General features: G+C 36.6%; 1 protein-coding gene across 5 annotated transcripts in view; it reads left to right on the plus strand.

The window, feature by feature from the left end:
- Positions 1-19,835, plus strand: part of PDE4B (phosphodiesterase 4B) — a 582,070-nt gene that overhangs the window by 216,121 nt on the left and 346,114 nt on the right. The gene's annotated exons all lie outside the window — the stretch shown is intronic.

Raw genomic sequence — 19,835 nt, forward strand, 5'->3', positions numbered from 1 at the left:
ACTCTCCCAAATAATTGTACTGCTCTACTGGTTTCCTCTCCTCCAGTCATCTTCTGGAAACTTCTAACCAAGTTTTCTCCTCACAATTCCACTAAAAGTGTTCTTCCTGAGATTATGACATTCCATGTGCCAAATATAATGACCAATTCCTTCACTTGGCCTCCAGAACACTGAATGTCTTTCCTTCCTCATGGGCTTCTCTTTCTCGGTTGGTTCCTCCTCATGTTCCTCAAGTCTAAATATTGGAATGCTCCAGAGGGTTGTGGACCTCTTCATTTTTGTCCTATAATAACTCCCTAGGCCAAGTATCTCAATCTAAATAACATCCGTATGCTGATGCTTCCCAAATTTATATCTCTAGCCAGACTTTTCCTCTGAACTCTAGATCTATGTCTCTCTCCAGCAGCCTTCTTGACAGCCAAAACTTAGCACATCCAAAATGGACATCATGGCTTTCTCCCCCCTACACCATGCCCTTGATGTAACATGTTCCAAATCTTTTCCATTGCAGTAAAATGCAATTCAATTTTTCTAATTACTCAGGTCAGAAATCTTGGAGTCTTGCATGATTCCTGTTTTTCTCTGATATTTCCCATTTCAAATGCATCAGCAAATCCTATCAGCTCAACATTCACAAGGAAGCGAGACTGTCACCACTTCTCATCACCAGCTGTCGCTGTTCTGATCCAAGTAACCATTACCTCAAACCTGGATTATCAAATTAACATCTTACTGGATCTCCCTTCTTTCATTCTTTCCCCTTTACAATTAATTCCTCTTGTAGCTGCCACAGTGATCCTTTATATTATCTGATCAGTTGTTTCATTCCTCTATTCAGAATCCTTTAACAACATCCTATTTCACTCAGAGTATGGGTCAATGTGCATGTACCATGCCTACAAATCTACCCTGGTCTCTACCTATTACTTCTCCAACTCCTTTCCTTCCCCTCACACCATCCCAGCCACACTGCTGCACTTGGTTCTCAGGCTAAGCAGGATTTCTTATCAAGACCTCGGCCTTTTCTTGTTGTCAAGAAAAAACTTTCTCCAGATATCTGTATGGGCTTTTCTTTTCTTATTTCAGGTGGTGTCTTGAATTCATCTAATTGGAGAAGACTTTTTGGCCATCTATAAAAAATAGCAGTGCACATCTTTGCCTTTCTACCATCATTATCCCTGATTTGGGTTCTTTATAGCACCTGATGTATATATCTACATATATATGTATTTTTCTATATCTACATCTATTTCATATCCATATGATCTGTATCTTTATCTATCTATCTATCTATCTATCTATCTATCTATCTATCTATCTATCATCTATCTATCTAATCTTTGGTATTGTCTGTCTCTTTTCTCTCTCCAATTAGAATATAATCTCCATGAAGACAAAGAACTTTGTCTATTTTATTCATTTCTAAATCCTCAAAACTAGAACACATGGTAGCACATGGTAGGTAGTTAATACATATTTATTGAATGAATAAGTGAATAAATAGACAAATGAGTTGCAGACTGTTTGGGTACCTTCCAGTTTTAAGCACTGAGGCCCCATGTTGAATGGGAGAGGGAAATGTGAACAGATAATTTAAAATATTATGTGATAAATAAAATAGTAAAAATAACTATTGCCTTTCAAAGTAATTTTATCTGGAAATATAAATTTTAAAATTTAAAAAATATTATATAAAATTTAATAAGAGATTATTTTCTTTATAAAGAGAAAGAGGGGCATTTGGCAAGTATACTAAACTTAATAGCAAGAAAACTTAAATTCATATTGTGATTACATTGTTTACTAGCTGTAGAATCTTAGGAAAATAACTCATCTAGTCTCTTCCTCCCATTGTACCTAGTATACTATCTAATTTATTTTATAGTTGTGAAGATTTAGTCAGATAATATCATACATAATGGGCATTAAGTAGATATTATTTTTATTTCTTTCCATATCTAATACTATACTTTACATTCATAGGTTAACCTTCTGTGATCTGTCTTATTCCTCTGCAATTTTTCAATGACTTTCTAAATTCCCACTTCATTGACTTTCTTCCATTTTCTTCCTGTGAGACTTTTTGACATCATGTGATGCCATACTCAGCCTCATCATCCCCACGAAGATTAATCATCTTTCTCTCCTTGCTTCAACAATATTGCATGTGATATTTAGCTCTATTTCTATGGATGGAAGCAAGGAGAGAAAGATGATTAATCTTCGTGGGGATGATGAGGCTGAGTATGGCATCACATGATGTCAAAAAGTCTCACAGGAAGAAAATGGAAGAAAGTCAAGGAAGTGGGAATTTTGAAAGTCATTGAAAAATTGTGGAGGAATAAGACTGATCACAGAAGTAACCTATGAAAGTAAAGGAATCATATAATGTGTACTCTTTTGTCTATTTTTTTCACTCATCAGAATTACTTTGAGATTCATGCATGTTGTTTTATGTATGCATAGTTAATCCTTTTTATTGCTGAACACTATTCCATTGCATGGATATACCAAAATGTGTTTATTCATTCACTTGTTGACAAGCATTTGTTTTTATGTTTTTTTGCTATTACAAATAAAACATTCATCTGCCAAAAAAAAAAAAAAAAGAACTGGTGAGTTCTTTAGCTCTATTTCTATGGATGGAAAGCTGGATTAATTTTCAACATTGTAGGACAGTAATAAGTGAATATTTATTCTTTAATTGGAATTATGTTTCTTTGAGTTGCTTGTCACTAATACGTAGTGAATCAATGGAAATGAAAAGGACACTCATAAAGTAACTGCATAGTGAGTACATAAACCAAAACCATGGCTATCTTTTTACCCTGTGCTACAGCAAGGCTAGTGAAACAAGAGCAACATGAATATTTTTAAGAAAGAGTATCACAATGGTAAATTTTATTTGTAGGGCATTATGTAGAAGAGAAAATTTTCAGGAATAATTATATTAGACTCATCTCTTTGATGACAGACACTATTTCCTATTCATATTGCAAAATAATTGGCAAGTACATGTTTTAAAAAAATGAGTGTTTTTTTTCCTGTGAGACATCTGTATTTTACTACAGGTGGGACAAAGTTATTTCGGTCCTTATTTTGCCACTAGGATATTGGCAGGCAGAGGGTGACAAAATAATGTAACATCTGAAATTTCAGGCTATGAGGAAACTCACATACATACAATTTGTCAGACAATTAGGATATTTCTAAAATGTGAACAGATGTATAATAGAAATTAGCAAAATGAAAAATGACCTTTTTTTGTTTTTGATGGATACATAAAGAATTTATATGCAGTTTTCTAGGTTAGCCTAGTTAAAACCTCTTCTTTCTACATATTCAGTTAAGAAATAATTGTTAATTGAGACCAAGACATTATAATTGTTTCCCTTTTGTATTATAATAATGAAAAATATCAAGAATTATATCTTATAACTTTTTACACAGGTCCAAGTGATGTTTTCTGAACTTGCATGCCACATTTTTTTAGCCAAGTGTTCACCAGTTGGGAACTCCTAGGGGTTGTTTATTTTTCAGTGAAAGACAATCTTTTAAGGAGTTTATGTCCTAAATATTTTCTGGTTTTGCAGTAGCATACATCAGACATAGTCATTGTGTTTGGATTGGGATTTTCACTTTTAACATGTTCTCAAATTCTCTAGGCGTTTAATGTTTCCATCTGGTCCTCATAAAAGGTTTCACATTTGTAATGCAGCTCAGGCTCCTACTCAGAGAGCATCATTATAATTCTATCCATGACTCTAGTTTGATAGAGCAGATACTTTTAAAACTTTGGATTTGTTTTTTGCTTTTGTGTTCTGTCTTAAACCTAGGAATAACACTTGAGTTTAATGGTTGTTTCTCTCTGAAAATAATCATAGTGTGCACACCATGACAACAGGCTCACACCCCACTTCCTTCTGTGCCGTTTGAAGCTCCTAGGGCAGAAGGAGTAACCACATTGTGAGCCCAGTATGAGGAAACTTAGCAGTCGTCTTACTTTCTCTTCATTAAACAATCTGTTCTCAGTCATCACAGATGGAGAGGATATTTTCAAGGACTTGAACATTTTCTTGAAATAGCCAAACAACTAGGAATCTCCTTTTGCCATGTTAAATAATAGGTTCTAGGGCACAATTTGAGCAAAGTTCACAGCTTCTAGCAAGGTCTTTTTATGTAGTTAGGTGTGCAGTGCATGTGGATTTGTTTAGTGAGTATGTACTTAAGTAACACTATATGTCAGGCAATGCTCTAACTAAACTTCACAAATAGTAACTCATTTAATCCTCACAGTAACTTTATGAATACGGTACTATTAGTATCCCCATCCAAGGATGTAGAAACTGAGGCATAAGGCAAAAAGACCACAGCTAGCAAGTGGAAGAGCCAGAATTAAAACCTAGGTGGTCTGGCTCAAGAATCCATGGTCTTAACTGTGAAACTGTGCTATGACTGAATGTGTTCAGTGTCAGATTTTCAAAGATCTATTATTATCTTCCCAGAATTGAATTGCACACTTTGTGTAACTCTCCCCAACACCATTCTTGATTCATAATTGGTACTCAGTGAATGTTTTTTTACCTTAGGATTTAATTAAGAGTGAGTGAAATGATAACTGATTTTGCCATCATTTGAAAAAAAGGCAGAACCAAAGGTGAATCATAATGGTAGCCAGTGGACAGGCAGTTTTTCATTCAGAAGTGTCAATGGATCCCGTTATCCAAGGATAACCTATATTTAAGGCCCAGATACTTCTAAGATGATGCTTTGGATTCTACATTTTCAAATCTGGAAGAACTATCTTCATTTCACTAATTGTTCTTTACTGATACAGTTTTTTTAAATTTAAGTGTGGTGAAACACAACCCAAAATTTACCATCTTCGCTATTTCTAGGTGTACAGTTCAGTAGTGTTACGTAATTCACATTCTTGTGCAACCAGCCTCCAGAACTCTTTTCATCTTTCAAAACTAAAAGTCTATACCACTTAAGCAACCACTCCTCGGTTTTTCTTCCCTCTAAGCTCTCAGAAACCACCACTTTTTAAAAAAAAAATAACTCATCCACCTATGGAAATTTAGGTTGCTTCCACCTTTTGGCTATTGTGAATAATGCTGTTATGAACATGGATGTAAAAATATCTCTTTGAGACTCTACTTTTATTTCTTTGGGGTATATACCCAGAAATGGAAGTGCTGAGTCATATGATAATTCTATTTTTAATTTATTTCCCATACGGTTCTCCATAATGACTGTATCATTTGACATTCCCACCAACAGTGCATAAAAGTTCACTTTCTCCACATTCTGACCAATATTTATTATTTTCTGTTATTTTTTTCTGATAGAAGTTATCCTAATGGGTGTTAGATGGCACATCATCTTGGCTTTGATTTGTATTTTCCTAATGATTCGTGATGTTGAGCAGCTTTTCACGTGATTATTGGCCATTTAGTATCTTCTCTGGAAAATGTCTGTTTAAGTCCTTTGTACATTTTAAAATTGGCTTGCTGTGTTGTTGTTGAGTTGTAGGAATTCTTTATATATTCTAGGTATTAGCCCATTGTCAGATATATGATTTGCAAATATTGTCTCCCTTCTGTGGACTGGCTTTTCACTATACTCTTGTGTTCTCTGATGCACAGAATTTTTACATTTTTATGTAGCCTAATTTATCTACTTTCACTTTTTTGCCTATGCTTTCTGGTGTCATAGCCAAAAAATCATTATCAAATCTAGTGTCATGAACCTTTTCCCCTATGTTTCCTTATAGAAGTTTTATAGTTTGGGTCTTGTGTTTAGGTTTTTGATCCATTTTGAGTTGATTTTTGCATATCGTGTAAGATTAGAGTCCAACTGCTTTCTTTTGCAGTATCCAGTATCTTTTGCAGTATGTTTTGTTGGTACCCAGCTCTCCCAACACCATTTGTTAAAGAAAAAAACCATACAGATTTAAGGGAAACTCAGACCACATAGCTATAAACCTGGAGTTCCTCTCATACTTTGGTCCAAACCATAATAGATTTAGAAAGAATCACGACTAAAGTTCTCAACTGGGGGCTCTTTTCTCCTGGCGAGAACATTTAGCAGTAGGTGGGGACATTTTTGGTTGTCACATCTTGGGGTGGGAGTGGGGGTAGCAGTTGTTACTGGAATCTAGTGAGTAGAGGTTACGAATGTTGCTAAATACCCTGCAATAAACAGCTCCCTAAAGCAAAGAAGTATCTGGCTTCAAATGTCAGTAGTGCTGAGGTTGAGGAACCCTGGCCTAGAGTATAGGGAAGTACAGGTTATGTTGTAGGACTGGAAAATTGGGGAATCTCCTTTTTTTGCCATTTGAGGGCTTGATGATCATTGCACAGGTGACTACCTAAGTGTCCAATTATTGACTACTTGGTAGTTGGTTTTTTAAAGATACCTGAATTTCATATACATCCAGTTAGGTTTTAACAACAGAATGCTATTTTGAGCTTAACTTTTGCCTTTAAGACTGTTCTTCTCACTTTCTTTCACCATAATTTTGTCCATTTATGCATTCATTTTCTCTTTTCTGTAAGAAAACAAGTAAATAATTGTAGGATTGATCATAAGAATTGGAGTCCTATTAGACTATACAATAATCAAGGATTACAGAAATGCCTAGAGATTGTTTTGGCCTAGCTGCTCCTCCTACTTCTGAGCTACTTACAGGAGAAAGATGCCCAATTGACAATATAAACATGAAATTAATTACTTTATAATAAATAGTTAATTTATAACACCCAGGCTTGTGTTTAAAATTCCAGAGCTTGGCTCTCTGCTGAACTGAGCTGGAGTACACGACTTCAGCCCAAAGTAATTTTATATTGGGTGTTTATGGTCAGGGAAACTTCGTTGCAGAGGTCATGCTTGAGCTGAGACCTGACTGGCTAAAAGCCTCAAGCCATGAGAACATTTGGAAGAAGAGTATTTCCACAAGAAAAAAAAAACAGAAAATTAAAGTGCAAAGATCTTAAGGTAGGAATAAACTTGGCATGTTCAAGAAATAGAAATAAGGCCAGTGAGGCTGATGCTCTGAGTTACTGAGGATAACAGAAGTATGATGCAACTGCTGAAATCAAATTAATATTTCTTTTTCCAGAGGAAAAGGTGGGGGGTGTTTGATTAGAACTTCTCCTGGTATAAGGGGAGATTCTCTCAACCTTGGACACCTGAAGTTGGCAGGTGTGTAAAGCATTGGTTTTGTATTGCATGGTTGGTTCACGTTATCAATTACTGTTTAAGTATTTATTTATTCACTTTTCAAAAACTGCTAATAATTTTCTATATTCTAGGCACCATTATAGGGCTAGGCATTGGAGAAATTGAGATGCATAAGACAAAATGCTTATGTTTAGGAGCTCGTAGTGTGCATTTATGGATTGGATAGTTGGATAGAACTCTTCTAATTATTGACTATGTGACCTTGGGAAAGTTATTAAACCTCTCTGTGTCTGAGTATCTCCATCTCTAAAATGAGATATTTATTGCAGTTACTTCATGGAGTTGTTGTGAGGATTAAGTGAGTTAATACCTTTAAAGCAGCACCTGAGACGTAATAACCACTCAGTAACTTAGCTATTATTGTTGTGGTGGTTTTACAGAAGCACAGGAAGAGACTCATTAATTCAGTCTCAAAGGTTAGAGAGAATTTAAAAGAAAAGGTGAAGTTTGAGTTCATTCATTAACTCATCATTTGTTTGATAAATATATATCAAGTGCCTACTGTATTCCACATACTACTTTTCTGCTACGGCACATACTTCTTTCTTGCTGCCTGGATTATCTTTGACACCATTATTCAGCTGTCAAACTTTAACATCCACATCATCCTCTTCAATGTAACCTTCTTCAGTTTAAGGAAGAGTATATATTAGAGATAAAAATTGTACAAATAATAATTTAGTTACAATTGTCAACCATGATATCAAGTGTAATCCAGTCAGTGAGAGGAAAAATGCAAGGAACATCTAAAAAGTGTGAAAGATAAGGAAATGTCTTAGCTAAGAGATGCAATATATGAGAGATAAGAAATGCAAAATATCATAAGAAAAAATAATCATAATCATCAACTTTGTAGGTTTCCCAAACTTCTTATAGTTTATGTATTTATCTTCTAATTTTCTAAGAGTTGAGCACTTATAACCAAAAGGGCTTCAATGCTTGCTTTTGAGTCAGCCATAAGTGGATAAGGAGCAAAAGGATGCAGCTTGCTTTCAACGCCAAGTCAGACTTGTGTTGGAGGAGGTGTTTAGGGATGGGTTTTCTAAGGGAGAAGAATATGTAGGGCACCTACTGAAGGAGAAGAGTATGGGCTCTTTGGCCATTCTTGCAGAGAAAACAACAGAGTGTGGGTGGGATAAGGAGCAGAACTAGGCTAGAATAGGGAGCATTAGGTTGGAACAGGAGGGCTGGAGGGTAGTTCTCTGGAATTTTGATTGTGCCTATATAAGCAATTCTTTGCCTTTTTTTGGATTTACATACTTGATGTCTTCTTTCAGACTGTTGAATATTAGAGCAAACATTTGAGAGCAGAGAATTTATTGTATTTGTGTAACCAGTATCTCTCATTCTGCTGCATATATATAAGGCCTTTAGTAAATGTTTGCTGAATTTCCCTATCAATTTATATATCAATTAATGAGATAATAAAATGAGATTGGAAGAAGAGGATCATATCCAGTAGACCTAGCCTATAATTTGTTCAATATTGATGTGTTTAAAAATTAAAAAAGCTACCTAGATAAAAGGCCAAAATATAACATGTAGTTATGACAGTCAGGGTTTATTTAGCATTTCTATAAGCCAGTAGCCTTTCAATTTATTCTGCATGTATTCAGTGGTGGTGGTAGACAACTGGTTTTGAGTCAAAATTGCATATAGGATCACATTTTCTTGCTAATTCAACTTTCTTAGTTCTAGGTTGGTAAATATTGTAGAAAAAGCAAAATGTTTCCCACATGTCTACAGATTTTCTTGCTTTAATAGCTTCATTTGTGATTTTGGGAACCAGAATATTTTTAAATAAAACAAGTCATTTATTCCTGGAATAAGTCCCTATGCCATGCATGTCTTGAGATTAGAAACTCAGCTGAGAGCAACTAGTGATTATTCCCTGACTACAACTATTTGTGAGATACAGAAATCTTAATGATGATAATCCAGTATTAGTGAGATTTTTAAAAAATATATATATATATATTCAAGGGTGCTTTCCAAGAACAATTTATACCTCACCAATTATTTACTGAGTTGTATGTGGAAATTGGAATTAACTGGCACCATTTATTTCAGTTACATTTTGAAACCACTTACAGATTGACACCTGGGTAACTGGCTATATTTTATATAGCTCTGCACGGATCATAGAGTTTTAGAGGTAGAAGTTAGTTTTTTCTTTTAGTGTTACTCTTGTAACAGGATGTATTTAACTGTTTCAGCAAAAGGAAGACAGACGTTTCCATCTAAAGAGTATGTGGTTTTAGGCCGGGCACGGTGGCTCACACCTGTAATCCCAGCACTTAGGGAGGCCAATGCGGGCGGATCACGAGGTCAGGAGGTCGAGACCATCTTGGCTAACACCGTGAAACCCCGTCTCTACCAAAAATACAAAAAATTAGCCGGGCATGGTGGTGGCGGGCGCCTGTAGTCCCAGCTAGTCGGGAGGCTGAGGTAGGAGAACGGCGTGAACCCAGGAGGCGGAGCTTGCAGTGAGCCGAGATCGTGCCACTGCACTCCAGCCTGGGCGACAGGGTGAGACTCTGTCTCACAAAAAATAAACAAAATAAAATAAAAAAAGAGTATGTGGTTTTGACTTTTATAATACAGTAGATTCTGCTTGAATAAATTTTAAGATTAAGTATTTTAATGTGCTTTGTGTAGATACAACAGAAATATCAAAGGACAATTCCAATATGAGGTTAATATTTTAATATCTTATATCAAAATATCTGAGCACCTAGAAACTGGCAGTGACAATTAACAGCTTAAATGATTCTTCAAATAATTCAATTTAAGGGTAGGATTTGGAAACAAGTAGCATTATCAGACTGAAAATAACACCATTTTATAAGAATGTCTATGGATACAATCTTAAGTTAGTGGCGTATGCCTTTTATATATTTATCCAACCATTATCCTCTATGTGCAAAGAATGTGATCTAAAGAATGTGTTAAGGCAGATAATACGTGTGTATTATAATAATTAAAAGGTTCTGTGATACAGACTCTGACCTGAGGATAAAGTACTACAAGATATAATAACTACCATAATTTTATATTTTATAATGATAAAACTACCTATAGAATGAAATACCTTATATCTTACTTTTTGCTGCTTTTGGGTTAATTATGCACTTAAATAAATGGATAGAGTTCTTACTTACCGTTTTCACATTTAAATTCATCCTGATATGATGACATATAGTTTTAATGACCTGGTTAATACTGATGAAAACTTTCAGTGGCAGTGCCTGGGGCCAGTAGTCTGCTGCATATTTTATTTTTATATTATTGCAATAATAACAAAAGATATTGGTGCTTCTTTTCACCTACAAATAATCAATTAAGGAACTGAAGCTTAATTTATTTAAAAAGCAATTTTTAGAACAAGTCGATAGTTCACATAGAGCTATTTAAATGTCCCATGCAAATTGATGGAATGTTCTAGCAAATATTATTTAGAAAATTATTATTATTGTTATTCTTTTTTTTTTTTTTTTTGAGATGGAGTCTTGCTCTGTCACCCAGGCTGGAGTGCAGTGATGTGATCTTGGTTTGCTGCAGCCTCTGCCTCCCAGGTTCAAGCAATTCATCTGCCTCTGCCTCCTGAGTAGCTGGGACTACAGGTGTGCATTGAAATGCCTGGCTCATTTTTGTATTTTTAGCAAAGACAGGGTTTCACCATGTTGGGCAGGATGGTCTTGATCTCCTGACCTTGTGATCCGCCCCCTTGACCTCCCAAAGTGCTGGGATTACAGGCATGAGCCACCGTGCCCAGACTAGAAAATTATTTTTAATAGCTCACATTCTTTGCCCAGTCATTTCACACCGGTATTCCATAAGAGTTCCCTTGCAGCCAGAAACAGAAAGGATTAGATTTTAATATCATCTAACAATATTCTTTTGTTGTTTAATCACACTTTATAGTGCTAACCCAAATCTGATCTGGAAATCTGTTCAGATCCAGTTTGAGGAACTAGTTGAGTAGACAATACTCTCAGAGAGCTACAGGAACTAAATGTACATCTCTTGTTCATTTGTAGACATCATTCAAGCCTCAGGCTTGGATTCTTCGTTTAGGTCTGCCAGTCAACAAGAATTCACTGGGTGGTTACTCATGACAGAGACCTGTATGAGACTGTGTACATAGAAGTCAAAGAAAAATAGTTACTATCGACAAGCATATATTGATACATATAGGCACAATTTTTCTTTCAAAAGTTTGCATTACTGTTGAGGAAAGTAGACATCTATATTTTTATAATGCCTATTTGAAATTTGTCCAGGAAATTCTGTTGCTGGTCAACAGTGTAGCTAGGCCTGGTATAAGAACAGGTCAGGTACAGTAGGATTCTGATTAAGGCAGGTGTCTGGCATAAAAATAGTGAACGTTAGGAAGGTAGGATTCCTGGTATATAGCATTACTTAAAGAACACTTTGAACTCTTTTTTTTTTAATATACTTTAAGCTCTACGGTACATGTGCACAACGTGCAGGTTTGTTACATATGTATACATGTGCCATGTTGGTGTGCTGCACCCGATAACTCGTCATTTATATTAGGTATATCTCCTAATGCTATCCCTCCTCCCTCCCCCCACCCCATGGACAGGCCCTGGTGTGTGATGTTCCCCAACCTGTGTCCAAGTGTTCTCATTGTTCAATTCCCACCTATGAGTCAGAACATGTGGTGTTTGGTTTTCTGTCCTTGTGATAGTTTGCTGAGAATGATGGTTTCCAGCTTCATCCATGTCCCTACAAAGGAGATGAACTCATCCTTTTTTATGGCTGCATAGTATTCCATGGTGTATATGTGCCACATTTTCTTAATCCAGTCTATCATTGATGGACATTTGGGTTGGTTCCAAGTCTTTGCTATTGTGAATAGTGCCACAATAAACATAAGTGTGCATGTGTCTTTATAGCAGCATGATTTATAATCCTTTGGGTATATGCCCAGTAACGGGATGGCTGGGTCAAATGGTATTTCTAGTTCTAGATCCTTGAGGAATCGCCATACTGTCTTCCACAATGGTTGAACTAGTTTACAGTCTCACCAACAGTGTAAAAGCGTTCCTACTCCTCCACATCCTCTCCAGCACCTGTTGTTTCCTGACTTTTTAATGATTGCCATTCTAACTGGTGTGAGATGGTATCTCATTGTGGTTTTGATTTGCATTTCTCTGATGGCCAGTGATGTTGAGCATTTTTTCATGTGTCTGTTGGCTGCATAAATGTCTTCTTTTGAGAATTGTCTGTTTATATCCTTTGCCCACTTTTTGATGGGGTTGTTTGATTTTTTCTTGTAAATTTGTTTAAGTTCATTGTAGATTCTGGATATTAGCCCTTTGTCAGATGAGTAGATTGCAAAAACTTTCTCCCATTCAATAAGTTGCCTGTTCACTCTGATGGTAGTTTCTTTGGCTGTGCAGATGCTCTTTAGTTTAATTAGATCCCGTTTGTCAATTTTGGCTTTTGTTGCCATTGCTTTTGGTGTTTTAGTCATGAAGTCCTTGCCCATGCCTATGTCCTGAATGGTATTGCCTAGGTTTTCTTCTAGGATTTTTATGGCTTTAGGTCTAACATTCAAGTCTTTAATCCATCTTGAATTAATTTTTGTATAAGATATAAGGAAGGGATCCAGTTTCAGCTTTCTATATATCGCTAGGCAGTTTTCCCAGCACCATTTATTAAATAGGGAATCCTTTCCCCATTTCTTGTTTTTGTCAGGTTTGTCAAAGATCAGATGGTTGTAGAGGTATTATTTCTGAGGGCTCTGTTCTGTTCCATTGATCTATATCTCTGTTTTGGTACCAGTACCATGCTATTTTGGTTATTGTAGCCTTGTAGTATAGTTTGAAGTCAGGTAGCGTGATGCCTCCAGCTTTGTTCTTTTGGCTTAGGATTGTCTTGGCAATGCGGGCTCTTTTTTGGTTCCATATGAACTTTAAAGTAGTTTTTTCCAATTCTGTGAAGAAAGTCATTGGTAGCTTGATGGGGATGGCATTGAATCTATAAATTACCTTGGGCAATATGGCTATTTTCACAGTATTGATACTTCCTATCCATGAGCATGGAATGTTTTTCCATTTGTTTCTGTCCTCTTTTATTTTGTTGAGCAGTGGTTAGTAGTTCTCCTTGAAGAGGTCCTTCACATCCCTTGTAAGTTGTATTCCTAGATATTTTATTGTCTTTGAAGCAATTGTGAGTGGGAGTTCACTCGTGATTTGGCTCTCTGTCTGTTATTGGTGTATAGGAATGCTTGTGATTTTTGCACATTGATTTTGTATCATGAGACTTTGCTGAAGTTGCTTATCAGCTTAAGGAGATTTTGGGCTGAGACGATGGGGTTTTCTAAATATACAATCATGTCATCTGCAAACAGGGACAATTTGACTTCCTCTTTTCCTAATTGAATACCCTGTATTTCTTTCTCTTGCCTGATTGCCCTGGCCAGAACTTCCAACACTGTTGAATAGGAGTGGTGAGAGAGGGCATCCCTGTCTTGTGCCAGTTTTTAAAGGGAATGCTTCCAGTTTGTGCCCATTCAGCATGATATTGGCTGTGGGTTTGTCATAAATGGCTTTTATTATTTTGAGATATATGCCATCAGTACCTAATTTATTTGGAGTTTTTAGCTTGTAGGGCTGTTGAATTTTGTTGAAGGCCCTTTCTGCATCTATTGTGATAATCATGTGGTTTTTGTCTTTGATTCTATTTATATGCTGGATTACGTTTATTGATTTGCATATGCTGAACTAGCCTTGCATCCCAGGGATGAAACCAACTTGATTTTGGTGGATAAGCTTTTTGATGTGCTGCTGGATTCGGTTTGCCAGTATTTTATTGAGGATTTTTGCATCGATGTTCATCAGGGATATTGATCTAAAATTCTCTTTTTTTTGTTGTGTCTCTGCCAGGCTTTGGTATCAGGATGATGCTGGCCTCATAAAATGAATTAGGGAGGATTCCCTCTTTTTCTATTGATTGGAATAATTTCAGAAGGAATGGTACCAGTTCCTCTTTGTACCTCTGGTGGATTTCGGCTGTGAATCTGTCTGGTCCTGGACTTTTTTTCTTGGTAGGCTATTAATTATTGCCTCAATTTCAGAACCTGTTATTGGTCTATTCAGGGATTCAACTTCTTCCTGGTTTAGTCTTGGACTCTTACCATTGATTGTGTGGGGATTGTAAATGGTGACAATCTGTTGGTACCTTGGAGAGCTCCCAATAGCCTCTATCTTTGATTTGTTAAGGTGCTACTGAGGCTTTTTGTTGTCTTAGCTTTAGGCATACTTTATAAGCTCTGTCATCCTGGTGGATCTAAAAGGTAGTTAATGCAGCTGTACTTCAATTTGCTGTGTTAGGCTGTGTGGTACTCGGACATTATCTACATTCTGTTAAAACCTTTTGGCCTTCACACCAGATCTTAGGCAATATTTTTGGGTTCCTCAAAGTTTCCTATGCACTAAGGAGGATAGATAGGCTTATCAGTTCACAATGTTGGCACACTTTGTCTCCAGGGGAAAGAGCATTTTTTGGCACAGACAAAAGAAGTATTGCCAAGAACAAGGTAGCATATGCTCAGATCCAATTAGTGGCAGAGACAATAAACACAGTAAGAGTTCAGAGAAGGAAGTTGTTTCTGAGGGCTATGGAACAAGTGAAAAGCTCCATGCAATAGCAGGCCCTATAGTAATGAAAGCATTCAGGTGGAAGAGGGAATTCCAGGTGAAGGAAATGGTTAACAACATTCTATTGATTTCAATTGAAGAAAATTACAAGGCAAAATTTTTATTTTTAATTAGCCTATAATCCACCTGAGGGAGAAAAGAACCATGAAAGCAGAAACCAACATTAGATCAACTACCATTTATGTAGTAAAAAGAGTAATAAGATATAGTGTAAACTTAATAATAATGTTTAGGAGATAAAGCCTTAGGAATAAAGGATCTGTGTTGGGTAGGGTTATTTAGGGCACTCTTGATTTCAGTTATTATTTTGTTTCTTATATTAGTACTTCATTACTATATGTGTCTCAAGTGGAGAGTTGAACTCAGGAAAACAGCCTCAGAAAGAAAAAGAAAAAAAATACTACATACTGATCTCAGTTATACATATTTTGATAATTAATAATGTGAATTGTTTCAGGCGGTTTATTTTTTACCTTTTGTGCTGCCTACCCACTACTTTTCATATTCCAGCCAGCCTCTTGACTTTGGTGTTCTCCATTCTGAGAGACTGTCCATACAAGTATCCTCCATTAATGTGAAGTAGAGTTGCTTATACTTACAAAAAGTCCTAGAGGATAGAAAAACAATCAATAATGGGTGCAAATAATAGATAAACACTATTTTTGATAGTATTCAGTAGGTCTCTTACCAAGTTATTTTCAGAATATCTCTAAAAAATATTAATCTAGCATCACTATACCTTAGAGTTGGAAGTGCTTCAGAGATCATCTCATTTACCCCTTACTCAATCAGATAGCCATCCAACTTGCATCACTTCTGTGATTACTAGGTTCTGTCTGAACATTTTCAGATATGGAAAGCTTGCTACCCCCAAGGAAGCCATTCTGCTGTTGACCAACACTTAGAAAGGTATTGCATTAAACTAGAATTTGTCCCTATGACTTTAAATAGATTTTTCCAGTTTCTTTCCAAAGAAGCTACACCAACTGTGTCAATTCATACGTTTATTCAACAAAATGTACAGGTCATATAATATATGCAAGGAATTTTCTGAGCCCTACAAATGATAACTTGATAAACATGGATATAATACTGTCTTCTATGAGAAGGCAGATTCTTAATACATTTTTTTGGATCAGTAAATAGATGGATAGATGAATCTTTTTCACCATTAAATAATGGTAAACTCTTGATATATAGGTAAAGTTGGTGTATTCCTTGGTAAGTGAAGGATGTGGAATGAGCATTTTAATATCCTAATATCCTCTAGAATGGTGATGTATTTTATTTCATAGCCTATCAGTGTAAAAAAGAGGCAAATACAATATTTATATATTTATTTTCAAATTATAAATATGAATTACTTAACTAAAGTATTATGTATATGAACTAAATAGATGTTTTTAAAGATTTAACATAAGTATATATAGCTATATATTTTAATAGTTTATACAGTGCCCTATATAACCCACAAGTATGATTTATAGCTTTGTTAATTATTTAAATATACTGCCTTTCTAGAAAACCAGCATTTTAGTTGTCCATTACATCTTAGTTGTTTTCCTAACTGGAGTCAAGTGATCACAATATGGTAGCATTTAAGATTTGGCTTAAGAACATATTAGAACTCACCAAGTTTTTCAAAAAATAGGCTTTGAGACAATATTAAGAAACAGAGTACTTCAAGGAAAGAAGTGATAGAAGTAATTTATGAAAAACAATTTATATGAAAGCTTTGTACTTTCAATATAAAAGTACTATAGAAGTAAAACACTATAAAGATGGATAAAAAGGAGAAGTTTGAAACTGTCAAGTAAGCTAAATTCCTTATCTCTTTACAAGCCTAATAACCCAGTTGGAATAACTCATAGAGTATAAATCTGGGATCTCATTAAAAATAAATATTTTCCAGTAACACAATGATGCAGAGGCAAAATGTATGAAATAGAAAATAAAAGAAAGAAAATAATGACTTCATACTCTTCTTACCTATTGTCTGCTATGCCAGTTTGGATTACCACACCACAGGTTTAGCTTGAGACTGAACTCATAATTTCTTCCCAGACTAATGTTTCCATGTGAGTTTCCTAATTCTGTGTATGGTGTCACCATTCTCTGGGTGTCCCAGGCCCCCAACTTTAAACTTAACCCCTGTTCCCCATTTCATGACTAATTGTTTACCAAGTTATTTTGATTCTCTGCAATATCCAGCAAGCAAATTATCCCATGTACTTAGGTACAGTAAAAATTTAGGACTGCTAACAACCACAAAGGTTTGTGCTTTAAGTTTAGTTGTGAGCTCTGAAAAATGTTAGAGTATTAAGTGTCAAACTTAAGATGGCAAGTCCATTTTCATAATTTAGTTTTTAGTTTCAATTTTGAAGAATCTCATCAAATGTATATGTCTCAGAATACAAACCTTTAATAATATAATTATTTTTCTGGTCAGTTACATGTTTTATTGTTTTCTTGATCCTTAGACTTACAACTTCAAATAAAAATGTAAATATCTGCAACATTTGGGCAATATTGCTTTATAAATGAAACTGTACATACAAGTTCAGTTTTTCACTTTTACAAACCTAGGAAATGCCCTTGAAGCATGAATGACAGTGTTTCCTCAAGAGGTTCACATCCTATTACAGTAGAAGGCATGGTCAGGACTCATGCCTACACTTTCAGCTTTGACCCACCCTGGCTTTGGATCTTGGGTAAATGGTTAGTCTCACTCAGAATAAAACTTATACTAGACTTTTCATGTCAATGGTCCCTTTCTATGTCTAGCTAACATTGTGCCTCATGTCCTCTATTATCCCCATCTGGCCCTAATTAGGTGAGGCTGTATCATGGCAGCATAGCTTCGGGATTAAGCTCTCAGGCTTGAAGTCAGATTCTTTGGGTATATGTCCCTGTTCTGCTACCTATGGTAACAGGACAGAAGCATTTAATCTCTATGTTTTGTTGTCTGATTTGTAAAATGAGGTAATAATAACACTTAATTTATGGGTTTGTTGTGAGAATACCACAGGTTAATATATAAAAGTTCTGAGGACTAGCACATAATAACTACTATGTGGTTGCTATTATTGATATTCATATAAAGCACTCAGCAATGTGCCTGGTATATAGTGTGTGCTCACTAAATATTAACTGTTATTCTCATTGCCAGACTCCACTTCAATTTCTGTAAGCTTTATTTCAGACTTTGGTCACAAAACAAAATAGATGAAAGTATATCCTCATAACACAAATGCGTGTTCTTCACCTCAACAAACCAACCAATTATGGCGTCCTGAGGGAGGGTGTGTGCGTCACCTTGCAATGTTGTAACATATGCCTGCAAAGGACTATTCTACAATACATGGCTCAGTAAACTTACGTTTTTCTTAACAGCTGCAAACTAAGATTTGTTTTGAATAATCCTATTAGTTTGTGCCAGTGTTACTGTGAAAGTGCATATTCAAATTCTTGGCCTTTGTTTTACCTGTTAGCTTTAATGTATTTTACTTTTTAATATTATAATCTACTAAAATCTAAAAATATGTGTATTAATCTGTTTCATGCTGCTGATAAAGACATATCTGAGACTGGGAAGGAGAAGAGGTTTAACTGGACTTACCACATGGCTGCAGAGGCCTCAGAATCATGGCTGGAGGAAAAAGGCACTTCTTACATGGCAGCAACAAGAGAAAAATGAGGAAGAAGCAAAAGCAGAAACCCCCGATAAACCCATCAGATTTTGTGAAACTTATTCCCTATCACAAGAGTAGCACGGGAAAGACTGGCCCCCATGAGTCAATTACCTCCCCCTGGGTCCCTCCCACAACATGTGGAAATTCTGGGACATACAATTCAAATTGAGATTTGGATTCAGACACAGCCAAACCATATCATTCTGTGCCTGGCCCCACCAAATCTCATGTCCTCACATTTCAAAACCAAACATGCCTTCCCAACAATCCCCTGAAGTCTTAACTCGTGACAGCATTAACCCAAAAATCCACAGTCCAAAGTCTCACCTGAGACAAGGCAAGTCCCTTCCACCTATGAGCCTGTAAAATCAAAAGCAAGCTAGTTACTTCCTAGATACAATGGAGGTACAGGCATTGGGTAAATATAGCCATTCCAAATGGGAGAGATTGGCCAAAACAAAGGGGTTATGGGGCCCATGCAAGTCCAAAATCCAACGGGGCAGTCAAATTTTAAAGCTCCAAAACGATCCCTGACTTTATGTCTCACATCCAGGTCACACTGATGCAAGGGGTGGGTTCCCATGGTCTTGGGCAGCTTCACCCCTGTGACTTTGCAGGGTACAGCCCTCCCTCCTGGCTGCTTTCACAGGTGGGTGTTGAGTATCTGCGACTTTTCCAGGCACATGGTGCAAGCTATCGGTGGATCTACCATTCTAGTGTCTGGAGGATGGTGGCCCTCTTCTCACAGCTCCACTAGACAGTGCCCCAGTAGGGACTCTGTGTGGGGGCTCCAACCCCACATTTCCCTTCTGCATTGCCCTAGCAGAGGTTCTCCATGAGGGTGCCGCCTCTGCAGCAAACTTTTGCCTGGGCATGCGTGCATTTTCATACATCTTCTGAAATCTAGGCGGAGGTTCACAAACCTCAGTTCTTGAATTCTGTGCATCTCTGGGCTCAACATCAAGTGGAAGTTGCCAAAGCTTGGGGATTCCACCCTCTGAAGCCACAGCCTGAGCTGTTTGTTGGCTCCTTTCAGCCAAGGCTGGAGTGGCTGGGACACAGGGCACCAAGTACCTAGGCTACACACAGCATAGGGAACCTGGGCCTAGTCCACAAAACCACCTTTTCTTCCTAAGCCTCAAGGCCTGTGATGGGAGGGGCTGCTGTGAAGGTCTCTGATGTGGCCTGGAGACATTTTCTCCATGGT

This window comes from Homo sapiens, chromosome 1 (assembly GCF_000001405.40).
Source record: "Homo sapiens chromosome 1, GRCh38.p14 Primary Assembly".
In the NCBI taxonomy this organism is placed as follows: domain Eukaryota; kingdom Metazoa; phylum Chordata; class Mammalia; order Primates; family Hominidae; genus Homo; species Homo sapiens.